This window comes from Homo sapiens, chromosome 2 (assembly GCF_000001405.40).
Source record: "Homo sapiens chromosome 2, GRCh38.p14 Primary Assembly".
Lineage (NCBI taxonomy): Eukaryota > Metazoa > Chordata > Mammalia > Primates > Hominidae > Homo > Homo sapiens.
Window position 1 is genome coordinate 74,764,203 of NC_000002.12, and position 15,161 is coordinate 74,779,363.

The 15,161-nt window shown below is 45.1% G+C and overlaps 1 long non-coding RNA gene across 3 annotated transcripts in view; it reads right to left on the reverse strand.

Moving 5' to 3' along the window:
• The window catches only part of LOC102724482 (uncharacterized), a 28,584-nt gene extending 14,030 nt beyond the window's left edge, over positions 1 to 14,554 (reverse strand). Inside the window, exon 1 of one of the 3 annotated variants that reach the window (XR_427046.4) lies at positions 14,262 to 14,554. This is a non-coding gene — a long non-coding RNA (uncharacterized LOC102724482). Of the gene's footprint in view, positions 1 to 13,769 lie in introns of all 3 variants that reach the window. The other 2 variants (XR_940249.3, XR_940248.3) reach the window with 2 other exon arrangements.
• Between the last annotated feature and the right edge of the window lie 607 nt (positions 14,555 to 15,161).

Genomic DNA, 15,161 nt, shown 5'->3' on the forward strand with positions numbered 1-15,161 from the left:
CAAAGTTAAGGCAAGCTGTCTGGAAGATCAGGTGGGGAGAGGAGTGCAGTTCTGGCCCCAGAGCTACCCAGCAGGGAGGAACAGGCCTTGTGGGGGCTGACCTGACTTAGCCAGACAGGACATCAGGCTGCCAGGAAAATGAGGGTTGCAGCCATCTGGGGACAAAGTTAAGGCAAGCTGTGGGCTGAAAGGGAGCCCAGTGGGAGATGAGGCACAGAGAGGAGGGAGCTGGGATAAAGAGACTTAGAAATGCAGGCACAAAGCCAGCACAGAGGCTGTCCTGGGTAGCAAGCCCTGTCTACACAACTAGAGTCATTGAAGAAGGCTTTCAGAAGAAGCTGGGACTGGATTTGCGGCTTGAAGAAAGGGTAGGATTTGTAGAGTTGAAGAGGAGTATAACGAGCCACTTCCTGTGAGGTGAAACTACATATCACTCAGTGATTTACATCTAAACTGGGCATTTATGTGTTATGATTGACTGAAATCACCTGTGGGCTAATCAGCCCAGCCATCAGGCTGAGATGCTGGCTCACAAAGGCAGCTGAGGGACCTTCCCCTGCAGGAAGTGACCCTGTGCCTGATTTACACTTTGCAAGGTATGCAATTGTTTTCACTTGCTCTAAACAAATTGACCAAATCCAGTTCAGCAAATGAGATGACTCCAAGCACAAGGTTTCTCTTTGAAAATGATTGAGAACATGTTTGCATACAGTGTTTACAAAGTTGAAGCAAACTATGCTTTGAATGAAGAGAGAATATGTCTCCATTTCTTCGCTGAGTGTGAAATGAGAGGGGGGTTTGTTAGCCCGACTCCAGCAGAGCTCTTGCCCATAGGAAGCCTGAGATCAAGGGTCACAAACTCAAGTGTCTACTGTGAAAATAAGATAAATAATGAAACAAGACAACTGTGATGCAACAGGAAATTGTGGAAACTCTGGCTAAGCCAAGAGCATACATCCTATTTGAAGACGGCTGCTATTCTCTCCCCTATTTGCATCCATGCAAGAATGAGAGTCCACTATGACCAGGTTTTCTAATTTTTCAAGAGAAGCCAGAAATGCTGATTTTTTTTTGGTAAGAAACTTTCTAAGCTAAGGAGTATTGTATGGGTGCCTTCTGCTGTGGGCCACCTGTTTCCAGTCTCTGTTCTAGAGGCTACCTAGTTATGGAAGTCACCTGTAACTGTCCCTATTTGTTCTGGAAGGAAGAGTGGACACTTGTAGGAAAAAGCCCAGACTCCTAGCCTGACATGGAAGACCTTTGCCTACTTCTCTAGACTTTTCTTTTTGTGCTGTGCTCATACCTTGTGCCCCAGCCCTGCTGAGCTAACTGTAGCTTGCCTAATGTGCGTGGAACAGAGATTCAATCCCAATCTTCACCTAAACACTTCACCTAAAGAAAATGGAAAATGGAGTTTCAGTGTAAGGCTGAGCTGAGATTGTGTGGAAGTTTAAAAATATGTCCACATCTTTTTTACTTTCTTTCCATTAGGAGGTGGGCTTGAAGGCTGGGCACGGTGGCTCATGCCTGTAATCCCAGCACTTTGGGAGGCTGAGGCGGGCAGATCACCTGAGGTCAGGAGTTTGAGACCAGCCTCAACATGGAGAAACCCCGTCTCTACTAAAAATACAAAATTAGCCGGGTGTGTGGTGCATGCCTGTAATCCCAGCTATTTGGGAGGCTGAGGCAGGAGAATTGCTTGAACCTGGGAGGCGGAGGTTGCTGTGAGCCGAGATCGTGCCATTGCACTCCAGCCTGGGCAACAAGAGTGAAACTCCATCTCAAAAAAAAAAAAGGAGGTGGGCTTGAAAATGGATTAGGGCTGGGAAGGGTAGTTGGGGATGGAAGGGGAGATGGGGATGGTTAACGGGTACAAAAAATAACTAAAAAGAATGAATAAGACCTACTATTTGATAGCACAAGAGAGTGACTATTGTCAATAATAACTGGCTGGGAGTGGTGGCTTATGCTTGTAATCCTTGCACTTTGGGAAGCTGAGGCAGGTGGATTACCTGAGGTCAGGAGTTTGAGACCAGCCTGGCCAACATGATGAAACCCTATCTCTACTAAAAATACAAAAAATTTAGCTGGGCATGGTGACAGGCCTGTAATCCCAGCTACTTGGGAGGCCTGAGGCAGGTGAATTGCTTGAACCCAGGAGGCGGAGGTTGCAGTGGGCCAAGATCCCGCACTGTACTCTAGCCTGGTCAACAAGAGCAAAACTCAGTCTTAAAAAAAAAAAACCCTATACATTTTTAAATAAAGAGTATAATTGGACTGTTTGTAACTCAAAGGATAAATGCTTGAGGGGATGGATACCCCATTCTCCATGATGTGCTTATATTTCACACTGCATACCTATATCAAAACATCTCATGTACCCCATAAATATACATACCTACTATGTACCCACAAAAATTAAAAATAATAAAAAAAAGGAAATAGATTGGGCTTTGTGACCAGGTCAACCAAGACAGTAGGTGGAAATGATGCCAAATGACTTTTGAGGCTAGGTCAAAAAAGGCAATGCAACTCCTACCTTGCTTGCTGCAACTCTCAGCTGGAAGCCCTCAGCTGCCATGCAAGCAGGCTACCCTGAAGGCACCATGCTGTGAGGAAGCCCAAACTAGCCCATCAGGAGAGACACCATGGAGAAGTTCTGAGGGGATGTAATGAGAGGCAGAGACACCCCACCAGTCCTCGGATGCTCCAGCTCCCTGCTCTTCTAGCTCCAGCCACCACCTGACTGCAACTGCCTGAGAAACCCTGAGCCAGAACCACCCCGCTGAGCCCTTCCCAAATTCCTGACTTGTGAAAATTGTGAGAGATAAAATTATTATTATTATAATAAGCCACTAGGTTTTGTGGTGATTTGTTATGCAGAACAGCTTCAAAGGAGAACTCAAAGTTTAGGCAGAGGCGGAGGCAGATGTAGTGTCTAGTGCCTAGTCTAGTCTGCTGTCCTTAATTCTGTGCACTTGACTCTTCACGTACCAGCCAAATTCCTGATATTCTTCTGCATAAATGCCAGAGGGAGCCAGGTTGGTTGGCTGATTTAGTTACTGTCACTGGTATTGAAAACCTCATCGGGTACCTCAGCCAGCCTGAGTCTTTGGGTTAGGTGCCCACTCATCCAATCAGTAGCCACTCTTGTAGAAGGCCAACCTGTCCCAGTTCACCTGGTTAGGGGCCTGTGGCCATGGCCCTTTCCATGTGAAGGGGAAGTTGGGGTGGCAGGTGTCTAGTGGATCCACCTGGCACCTGTGGTTTGTTGTCGTGTCTTTCCAGGCTTGTGCTCTATGCTTTAGAATCATCCCTACTCCCAATACTTACTCATCTTTTGAGTCTCAATTATGCATTACCTTCTTCATGAAGCTGGGCCATTCCCCTTGGAGACCCCCTGTCTCTTTGCACACCCTCCCTACTAAAGAGAGCTCACTGGCTTCCCCATCCATCTTTCCCACAAAGCTGACCATCCTCAGCTTATTCATCTCAGTCTTCCTAATGCCAGGCTTTGTGGCTGGCTCATAGCAGGGGCTGGATAAATCATTGATAAAACATGAATAGATGTGTTTAGTTGAAAGAGGATAAAGGGAATCATAACATCAGCTACTCTGGAGTGTGGAATGCTTTTGATGTCTGAGTTGGGAGGCTAGGTTCTGTTTCACTGCCTCTTGCAGTAGTTGATACCAGTTCATTGATTATGTCGTTCTGTTACCTGCAGTAGGAACAGATCGTGTCCTAAAAGTGTGTGGTCTGGAACTTGAAGCACATTTTCCCTCATAGAAACAGGTTAGTGGTTTTCAAATTAAAAATAAAATAAACCCAAAAAATCATGAAAAAAAAATTCTACAAGAAACTGAACTTGGAAAGTCAGCTTTGAGGTGGTTTGAAGTTAACAATGGACTGGTCTCTAAGCTTTGGAGGGATAGGGGAAGATGAAAGTGTTGGGGACCCCAGAGCTGCCAGTCAGTTAAAGGGCACTCAGATGCTGTTGTCCCAAATATATAAGTATGGGGGATGGGGGATCCAGGAATATATTTAATTTTTAAAAACTTCACTACTTTATGTTTAAATGGGTAATACACAATGATAGTACAGCTTTTATAATATTTTTATATTTTAGTAACAATGTTTTTACTTCAAATTTACCGTCTATGGGAAATGTTGAAAAAGAAAAGGCCACATAGTTTTCTCTACCCAGATTTCATGCACAGTAAGCTTTGCTTATCATTCCACACATTATTTTGAGTCTAGCTATTTCCTCCCCTCTCCACTCCTTTGACCTATTTTTAGGTCTAGAAGCTAAAAAAAAAAAAAAGATTGTCTAGTGAGGACCTAGTAGCTGGCAGCCCTGAGGGTGGGTGTACCCTGGGGCCTCAGCCCTGGCCTTAACAGGCCTTAGGTGTCGGGGGTGGTGGGGGGGAGGGTTGGGGATTCCAATCCATATTCTGTTAAAGGAACCCTCCCCTCCCTCTTTCTGGGTGAGGCCAAAGGCTGCCCAGTCAGCTGGCCTGGCCTGAGAAGGCTAAGATAGTGCAGGCGCTGTGGTTCCCCATCTCCTCTGCTTCCGTCTCCCACACACTTACAGTTTGGTCCTATTCTTCCCACCCCAAGCTGCTCTGGGGCTGCCACCCTCATACCCCGACCCCAGATCCCAGCCCCAGGCAGATCATTAGGCTGCAGTCAGTCCTGGTTCTTTGCCTTCCTCCCTACCAACTTCTGACTGTGCTGCAGAAAGCAGATAACTGAAAGCCACTCAATATACCTAGAAGGCAGGGCCATAGGATGAGCTTGGCCTTTGGAGTAGCAGACCATGGTTCAAATTGTAGTTGAAACCCCAGCTCTGGGACCTGTTTGCTGTCTGACCACGGGCAAATGACTTACCCTATCTGTGCTACAGTTTCTTATCTGTGAAGTGGAGAAGAGGATAATGATCTACTTTGGAGGGCATTGGGAATTAGAGAAAATGTATGTAAAGTGTCTGGTACAATGTGGCCTACAACTGCCCCTAATAAATGTTTATTGAGGCCTTATCCTCAGCTTTCCAGGAAAGCTGGGGAGGGTTTCCCTCTGGATCTCCTTGTGCTCATGGGGTCGGGACTCTAGGCTGGAGGAGCACAGATTTCCACAATCCTGTGGTACTCATATGTCCGGTAGAGCATCACCTTCATATTTAGAGTCTTCTTCTCCTTTCTTGCGTTAGGATCTTCATGGATTGCAACATTGCACCCTTTACCTAAATGAAACATCAGTGCATATAACTCTCCTCCCATTTTCACCAGGTTAAAACAAAAATTAGGATGGGCAGATGCCAGCCCTTGCTGGAGACCCAGGCTTCTGCATGAATGACTATCCATAAAGCATTTAGATGAGAGAATGTGAGGGAAAGCTGCTGTCCAAGATCTTCTCTGCTGGAGGATGGGACAATGGTCTCACATGCTCAGGAAGGTTTGTAACGTGGGGTTAAGCACGCTAACATGGAAGTTGAAACTCCTGGGTCCAAATCCTGGCTTTTCTAGTTACCAGCCAGGTGCATCAGTTTACTCATCTGTTAAAAGCAGAGGATGATGATGCTGATGAAGAGGATGATGAAGATGAAGATGATGGTACCCATCTCCTCAGGGTTACAGAAGGTGAATTGAATTGATGCAGTGAGAATGGAGTACACTGGACTCACTCATGAAGTATGTTAGCTGCTATGTTCATGCTTTCCCCCTTGGTTCTCTGTGTAGCTAGTGATAGAAATATCAAGCTTTCCAACAAGACTGTCCCTTACCACGTTTTCTTTCTTTTGTTAGCCTTTAGATTTTTTTCTGATTATAAAGGTTATATATGCTCAAGACAAACCACTTATAAAATGTAGAAAGACAAGGCTGGGCACGGTGGCTCACACCTGTGATCCCAGCACTTTGGGAGGCTGAGGCAGGCTGATCACCAGGTCAGGAGATCAAGACCATCCTGGCTAACACGATGAAACCCCGTCTCTACTAAAAATACAAAAAAAAATTAGCTGGGCTGGTGGCGGCCGCCTGTAGTCCCAGCTATTTGGGAGGCTGAGGCAGGAGAATGGCATGAACCTGGGAGGCGGAGCTTGCAGTGAGCCGAGGTCACGCCACCGCACTCCAGCCTGGGCGACAGAGCGAGACTCCGTCTCAAAAAAAAGTTGAAAGACAAAAAGAAGACAATGAAAACACACATCATATTACCGCTCCAGAGATGCTGTGAACATTTTTATGTATTAGGAAATAGATATTTATAGTCATTAGTATAGTATGTAAAAATGAGAGCCTATTAAAACGTGCAGCAGTGACCTATAGAAACCAAAGGTAAAAAAAAATCTGTGTTTGAAATCTGTTTGTTGCCTGTCCAAGTGCTCACTGCAGCTCCCCAGTGTGTTATGGAGCACAGGTTCTTAAAACTAGTGCTAGGCCTACAGCCTAACTTGGGAGCTTGAGAGAAGTTCAAACTCCCTGGCTGCACCTGCTGAATCAGAGAGCCTGGGGTGGGCACAGCAATCTATATTTTAACAAGCCCTCCAGAGGATTTTGAAGTCTGTTCAAATTTGAGAACCATTCTTAGAAATCAAAGTTCTAGCCCAGGTGCGGTGGCTCATGCCTGTAATCCCAGCACTTTGGGAGGCCCAGGAAGGTGGATCACTTAAGCCCAGGAATTTGAGACCAGCCTGGGCAACATAGTGAGACTCCATCCCTACAAAAAATATGTATTAAAAAAATTAGCTGGACATGGTGGCACATACCTGTAATCCTAGCTACCTGGAAAGCTGAGGTGGGAGAATCACCTGAGCCTGGGAAGTCAAGGCTGTAGTGAGCTGTGATCACACCACTGCACTCCAGCACGAATGACAGATTAAGTTCCTGTCTCGAAAGAAAGAAAAAGAATAAAACGGGCCAGGCACTGTGGCTCATGCCTGTAATCCTAGGACTTTGGGAGGCCGAGGGGGGCAGATCACGAGGTCAGGAGTTTGAGACCAGCCTGACCTACATGGTGAAACCCCATCTCTACTAAAAATACAAACATTAGCCAGGCATGGAGTCACGCGCCTGTAATCCCAGCTACTCGGGAGGCTGGGGCAGGAGAATCGCTTGAACCTGGGAGGCGGAGGTTGCAGTGAGCTGAGATCACGCCACCACACTCCAGCCTGGGTGACAGGGTGAGACTCCATCTCAAAAAAAAAAAGAATAAAAGGAAGAAAGGAAGGAAGGAAGGAAAAAGAAGGAAGGAAGAAAGAAAGAAAAAGAAAAAGAAAGAAAGAAGGAAAGAAAGTCAAAGTTCTGGAATTATTTTGAGAAGTTAAACAATAGTTAAGAAACTCTTGCTCTCTAAGGTCTCACAAATTTCAAGCTATGCATTTAAAATAGGTGCTGCCGAAAAAGAATGAACCCTGGAAAACATTCTACTTGCTACACTGAGACACCATATTAAAGACAGCATTATTTTAAATGTCTCTGGACTGCTTTTAAAAAGAACTTTGGGTCATGCATCTAATTCCCTTCTAACTTCTAAAATGGAAAGTAGTTTCCTATGGTTGGCATCTATCATATGTAGTTATAGACAGACCTACTCTGTGACACCATAGAGTACTCACTCATTTCTTCGTTTGTCATTCATTCAAATAATCACCATTCAGCTCTTTGAAGTATTTATTCTCTACCAGTTTCTGGCAGTCCTTTTTGCATTAGGAAAGAACAGATCTGTTTTATTTTCAGATTTTATTTTAAAAATATGTATTTTCAATGGTATTTGGAAGTTTATACTTGCAAGGGATTTGAGTGAAGTAGGAGATATTTTCTCTAGAACATTAAAAGTGTCTGAAGACCCCTTGACCCTCTCCCACACTAGTGCCAAGACAAGAAAACAGGATTTTTCTGCTCTCTTTGAGTTCTAGTCTCTAGGTACAAAGGAATTACATCTCAGTTACTGGAAAGTTTGCAGAACAGAGGAATGGCCCAATGTCTTTGAGACATTTTAGGGCAATACCAGAAGTCTTGGAAGAAGAGAGCTAAATAAAAGTCATCTGGATCCCCAAAGACCACAGAAGATGGCTTGCTCAAAATACCACTACTGAGTTTGGCTTCAGTCCCAGACAAGATTCTAGACTAGATTATTTAAAATAATAACAATAAAGTTTGGGAGACTTTTGGAAAAGCAGCAATTACTGGCATTCAGCCTGAGATTTTAAAAACAAAGTATGTCTGCTTGACCTTTTTCTTTCTTTGACATTGTTTCTAGACTCATTTATTAAGAAAATATGATAGGCACAAGGCCTGGGGCATAATAGAGACTCAATCAATATTTGTTGACTGAATGAATAGGGCATTTTGCGAGGCTTTTGATAAGATCTTTCATAAACTGATTGATAAAGCCACAGCATAATGCAGGCTGGAAGCAAGGGCAAAAGCTGGGTTAGAATTTCCCAGAAAATATCATTAATACCATCTGGGAGGCAGAGTCCTAATGTTGGGCCATCACCCCTGAGAAAGCTCTCCATGGCATGGATGCAGTATAGAGAACAGGCTCATCAAACTGAACATAAAATTGTGCTGGGCAGGGCAGCATACACGCTGAGGGATGAAATCCAGATCAACAGACTACTGAGCAATTTTTAAGCCCCTCCTTATTCTCCCTAAATATAAATAATACATATTCATTGTATGCAATCTGAGAAATATAGGAGAGACTAAAGAAGAAAGTAAAAAAGATTTCATGAACTCCCGTCACCTGAATGTAACCATTGCTAATATTTTAGCATATTTCTTTACTTAGTCTTTGTTTAACTTATACATACTTTATCTAGATGTGTTAATTTCATATCATCCTTTCACTGAAACGAAACTCTTTTAAAGCATAATTTGTAATGATTATATGATAGTTCATTATATCTATGCGTTGACTTACACATCTTCATTTGTAGTAACCAAAACAAATAATTGTACCAAATATCAATATAGCATTTTACTGAGGCCCAGATACTATTTAAAGTGCTTTAAATGTATTAGCTTTTCAGTCCTCACAATAACTCTGAGAGGTATTATCGTTATCCTTATTTTACAGATGAAGAAACTGAAGCAAAAAGAGTTTAAGTAATTTGCCCCAAATCACCCAGATACTAAGTGGTGGGAGCAGAGATTTCTCTCTTTTGAAGTCGGTGTTGGTATTGGAATGACTGACATTTATTAAATGGTATTGGAATGATTGAAAAGCCATTTGGAAATACATGGAGTTGATTTTCATATCGCATTTTACCTTAGTACAAATTCCAGATAAATCAAAGACAATTATAAAAGATGAAATCTTAAATATACAAAAACAGTGATTCTCAATGCTGGCTGAGCTTTAGAATCACTGGGGAGTCTATTTAAGAATTACCAGTGTTGGCCGGGCGCGGTGGCTCACGCCTGTAATCCCAGCACTTTGGGAGGCTGAGGCGGGTGGATCACGAGGTCAGGAGATGGAGACCATCCTGGCTAACACGGTGAAACCCCGTTTCTACTAAAAATACAAAAAATTACCCGGGCGTGGTGGCGGGCGCCTGTAGTCCCGGCTACTCGGGAGGCTGAGGCAGGAGAATGGCGTGAACCCGGGAGGAGGACCTTGCAGTGAGCCGAGATCGCACCACTGCACTCCAGCCTGGGCGACAGAGCGAGATTCCGTCTCTAAAAAAAAAAAAAAAGAATTACCAGTGCTTAGGCCTGGCGTGGTGGCTCACGCCTGTAATCCCAGCACTTTGGGAGGCCAAGGCAGGCTGATCACCAGGTCAGGAGATCGAGACCATCCTGGCTAACACGGTGGAACCCCGTCTCTACTAAAAATACAAAAAGAAATTAGCCGGGCGTGGTGGCGGGCGCCTGTAGTCCCGGCTACTCGGGAGGCTGAGGCAGGAGAATGGCGTGAGTGAACCCTGGAGGCGGAGCTTGCAGTGAGCCGAGAACACGCCACTGCACTCCGGCCTGGGCGACAGAGTGAGACTCTGCCTCAAAAAAAAAAAAAAAAAAAAAAAAAAAAAAGAATTACCAGTGTTTAAGGCCGGGCGCGGTGGCTCACGCCTGTAATCCCAGCACTTTGGGAGGCCGAGGCAGGTGGACCATGAAATCAGGAGATCTAGACCATCTTGGCCAACATGGTGAAACCTCGTCTCTACTAAAAATACAAAAATTAGCTGGGCATGGTGGCGTGCACCTGTAGTCCCAGCTACTTGGGAGGCTGAGGCAGGAGAATCACTTGAACCCAGGAAGCAGAGGTTGCAGTGAGCCGAGATTGCACCACTGCACTCTAACCTGGCGACAGAGTGAGACTCCATCTCAAAAAAAAAAAAAAAAAAAGAATTACCAGTGTTTGCCACTGGCCCCCACTTCCCCCCACAGCTATTTAAATCATAATCACTGGAGGTAAAGCTAGAAATTTGTATTTTTTAAGTATGCGTTATGAACTTTTTTTTTTAACTTTAAGTTCTGGTATACATGTGTAGAACATGCAGGTTACATAGGTATACATGTGCCATGGTGGTTTGCTGCACCCATCAACCTGTCATCTAGGTTTATATTTTCTTGCATTAGGTATTTGTCCTAATGCTCTCCCTCCCCTGGACCCCCACCCCCCGACAGGCCCCGGTGTATGGTGTTCCCCTCCCTGTGTCCATGTGTTCTCATTGTTCAACTCCCACCTATGAGTGAGAACATGAGGTGTTTGGTTTTCTTTGCCTGTGTTAGTTTGCTGAGGATGATGGCTTCCAACTTCATCCATATCCCTGCAAAGGGCATAAACTCATTCTTTTTTTATGGCTGCATAGTAGAAATTGGTATTTTTTTAAAGTTCCTGTTGATTGGAATGCAGCCAGGGCTAAGACATAACGACAAAAGGGACAGATTTTTTAAAACCTGAGAAAGGAGAAAGCTTTTCTATGTATGATATAAACCTCAAAAGTTCTAAAGAAAAAACTGATAAATTCAGTAGTGGAGAATTATTGTTTAATGGGTACAAAGTTTCTGTTTGGGAAGATGAAAAGTCCTGGAGATGCATGGCGGTGATGGTTGCACAGCAATGTGAATATACTTAATGCCATCAAACTGTACACTCAAAAGTGGCTAAATGGTGTGTTTCATGCTATGTATATTTTACCACAATTAAAAATGGCATTACAAAAAACATCATAGGCACAATCCAAATATAAATGACAGATTGGAAAAAATAGGTAACTCATTATAAAAAGGGGCTTATATATAAACAGCTTGCATGAATCAATAAGAAAAAGAGCAACCCAATGTAAAGATGGGTAACAGATATGAACAGTTCACAGAAAAGAAAATATAAATGTTTCTTAAACATATGAAAAAAGCCATTCACACTAAATGTAAGAGAAAATAAAACTACACTAAAATATCACTGTCACTTAGATTGAGAAGTATAAAAACAGAGTTGGGGCCAGGCACAGGGGCTCATACCTGTAATCCCAACACTTTGGGAGGCCAAGGCAGGTGGATCACTAGAGGTCAGGAGTTGGAGACCAACCTGGCCAATGTGATGAAACCCGTTCTCTACTAAAAATATAAAAATTAGCTGGGCATGGTGGTGCTCGCCTGTAACCCCAACTACTCGGGAGGCTGAGGCAGGAGAATTGCTTGAATCTGGGAGGGAAGTGGAGGTTGCAGTGAGCAGAGATGACTCCATCTCAAAAAAAAAAAAAAAAAGTTGGATAACTCAATTGTTGGTAAGGGCCTGAGGAAAGAGCCATTCTTATTATTTGCTGATGGGAGTATAAATTGGTGCATTTTCTATGGTGGGCACATTTGGGAATATCAGTAGAAATTTCAAATGCACACACAGCTTGATCCCATAATTCCACATCTAGGAATTTATCATACAAAAATATTCATATACAAAATGACACATGTACAGGGTGATTAATTGCAATTATTTGAAATAGCAGGCCAGGTGCAGTGGCTCACGCCTGTAATCCCTGCACTTTGGGAGGCCAAGGCGGGTGGATCGCCTGAGGTCAGAAGATCGAGACCAGCCTGACCAACATGGTGAAATCCCGCCTCTACTAAAAATATAAAAAGTTAGCCAGGCGTGGTGGCGGGCACCTGTAATCCCAGCTACTCGAGAGGCTGAGGCAGGAGAATCACTTGAACACAGAGGCGGAGGTTCCAGTGAGCCAAGATGGTGCCACTGTACTCCAGCCTGGGCAACAGAAGGAGACTCCATTTAAAATAAAAATAAAAAGAAATAGCAAAAGGGGGATGCAAACATCTACTAATAGAAGAGTTGTCAAATAAATGTTGGTATGTCCATAGTACATACTTTGGGGTACTCTGTGGATGTTAAAGAAATAAAATCTATATATGCTAATATGGAATGATTGGCACTATGTGAAAACAGCAAGTGTAAATAAGAGAAGGGTTATATAATCACATAACTCTATGCATGTAAGAAACTAGCAAGAAAAGTTGCCTCTGGGATATAAAGACGTTTTTCGCTGTGTGCTTTTTTTTTCTATTTTTTTTTAAACCCCATGAATGTATCTCTCCAAGATAATTCTTTTTTCTTTAAATAAAACTTCACCGGGGAGGGCCAGAACCATATAAAACGGTATCTAGAAGTACCATTTGTTGGCCGGGCGCGGTGGCTCACGCCTGTAATCCCAGCACTTTGGGAGGCTGAGGCGTGCGGATCACGAGGTCAGGAGATCGAAATGATCCCGGCCAACACGGTGAAAACCCATCTCTACTAAAAATACAAAAAATTAGCCGGGCGTGGTGGCGGGCACCTATGGTCCCAGCTACTCGGGAGGCTGAGGCAGAAGAATGGCGTGAACCCGGGAGGCGGAGCTTGCAGTGAGCTGAGATCGCGCCACTGCACTCCAGCCTGGGCAACAGAGCGAGACTCCGCCTCAAAAGAAAAAAAAAAAAAAAAAAAGAAGTACCATTTGTTGTTTCTGCTGCTGTTTGCTAAACGCTTGGGGGAAGACTTGAGTATGTTCAGGTGATGGAGGGATAACAGCAGTAGAAAGGAAAAGGCTGATGGAGCCAGTTATCTGAGGAGGAGGACAAGAGGGAAGGCAGGATCAGGAGGAGGCAGGCATTAGCTTTGGGCAGAAGCAGACACACCTCCTTCCCTGAGATGGACGAGGTAAGGGGAGGATTCATTCCTAAAGAGATAAAACCAGGGCCCTGGGTGGGGTTGATGGAGCTCCTGCCTCAAGGCCTCTATTATCTATGGAAAATATTAGTTAGGTTATCTGCTCCTAGTGAGGGAGGAGATGGTGGCCAAGAGGGCATGAGGACTGTGGTTAAAATGGTAAAGCAGCTATTGTTGAAGGCCCCATAAACCTGGGTGCTGGCAGTCTGCGTGGCTAAGAAGCTTTCTCTAGCGGTTTTCACCAACTGGGAGCCTGAGCAGGGGGCCGGAAGGAAGTGAAGAAGGGAAGGGGCCAGTGGGTTGAGGACGTTAGACAGTGAGCAAGGTCTGAAACTATGTGGGAAGAGGGTAAGCAGTTCTATCCTATGGTTGCCTGTTTGTCTCCCCAGTGAACTGGAACCCCCCTCCTACTCCCAGGGCACTTTTCATAGTCCCCAGGGCCTGAGTGGGTGCTTGGTCATGGGACACAGTTCAAGAAATGTTTCTCAAATTACTTAATCGACCCTGCAAATACAAAAACAGATGAATAAACGAACCCTAAGTCTTAGCACTTCATCAGTGCTGCGAGAAGGCCTTTATCCCATCTGGCATTATCCAGCTTATTTACTTACCTTGTTCCCAAGATTTGTTTGCTCTTTCCAATGGTGATAGCTACCCTCAAGGGAAGGAGACACTGAGGTTATGTGTTTAAAGATGCTGCAGGCTGTGATGGCAAATACTTTGCAGGACTCCACTGTAGCTCCTCCTCTTTCCTAACATCACTTTCATCACTCGTGTTTGAAATCCCACTCTCAGTGGTCCATGGCTGCATGCCTCTCAAAGTGGGTGTGGGGAGTGGGGCAGGGGGATTTGGAAGGAGGGTTCTGCAGAGGGAGGGGAGCACAGCACCCTGGGAGAGGTGACACTTGGTTACTGATGTCTTAGTACTGGTGGTTTGCAGTTGAAAGGGAGCAGCAAACACTTGGTGTGGGAGGAGTAAAGAGGCGAGGCTCTTAAAAGCAATCTGATGATCAATGTGTGTCCTCTATAATTTGGGGGAAGGCCTACCCTTCCTCCACTCCAGGCTCTGCTTTTCTCTCACCTCTATCAGCAGAGGAACTTACTGTAGTCTGGGAGGGTCTCTCCTTCACTCAGCCATTCTTCCCACTGTAGTTGAGCACTTGCTGCAGGCCCAGCCTATGGCAGGCGGAGGAATGCAGAGGCCCCTCCTTCCAAGGCCCACAGAGAGGAGCCTTCAGCTCCAGCTGGTTCAATGTCCCCTGATTGCCTTTGGATATTATTATCTGAATCCGGGATTAACAACTCCTGAACCCTGAGCAAGTGAGAGACAGCAGTGCCCTCCAGGGACCTGGCAGAGTGCACATGCCAGGCAGCACGTAGCTGCTACGGCAGGCATGGAGGCGTTGCCATGGAAACTGCCCAGGCGGCCTTTCCACTCACAACCTCTAGGTTCCTTTGTTTGTGTCATCCGTTTCTAGGAGATACATGCGAGGCTTTCTCTCCTCCTTTTTCTCATCCCTGGAAAGAGTTGTGGAGGAGTTGCTGGTGAATGGGGTGGGAGAAGTCAAGTGCAGCCCGGGTGGGAAAACAGCTGATGAATGCCAGGGTTTCCAGCGACCTGTGGGGTAGTGGCTCACAGCTCTCAGCTCTGCTGCTCTGGTGGGAGAAGCCCCTCATCGGCGATTACATTCCACCAGAGCCGCTGCCCTCTCCTCCCTGCACCCACAGGCTGCGAGGTGCTCAGGGGCAATCAGGCAGAGCTGGATTTGCTGTACCAGGCCTGGGTACTCCGAGGCAGTGAGGTACAGTTAAGAGAGCACTGAAATCGGAGTCAGGAGGCCTGAATTTTGGCCCTAATCCTGGCACAGCATAACCTTAGGCAAGTGTTTTCCATCCTCCTGGCTCAGTTTGCTCATCTGGAAAGTGAGAGGGCTGGAATAGAACAATAATTCCAAAGTGCTGCGTCCGAATCATCTGAGAAGCAGATGCAAGCTGCATTACAC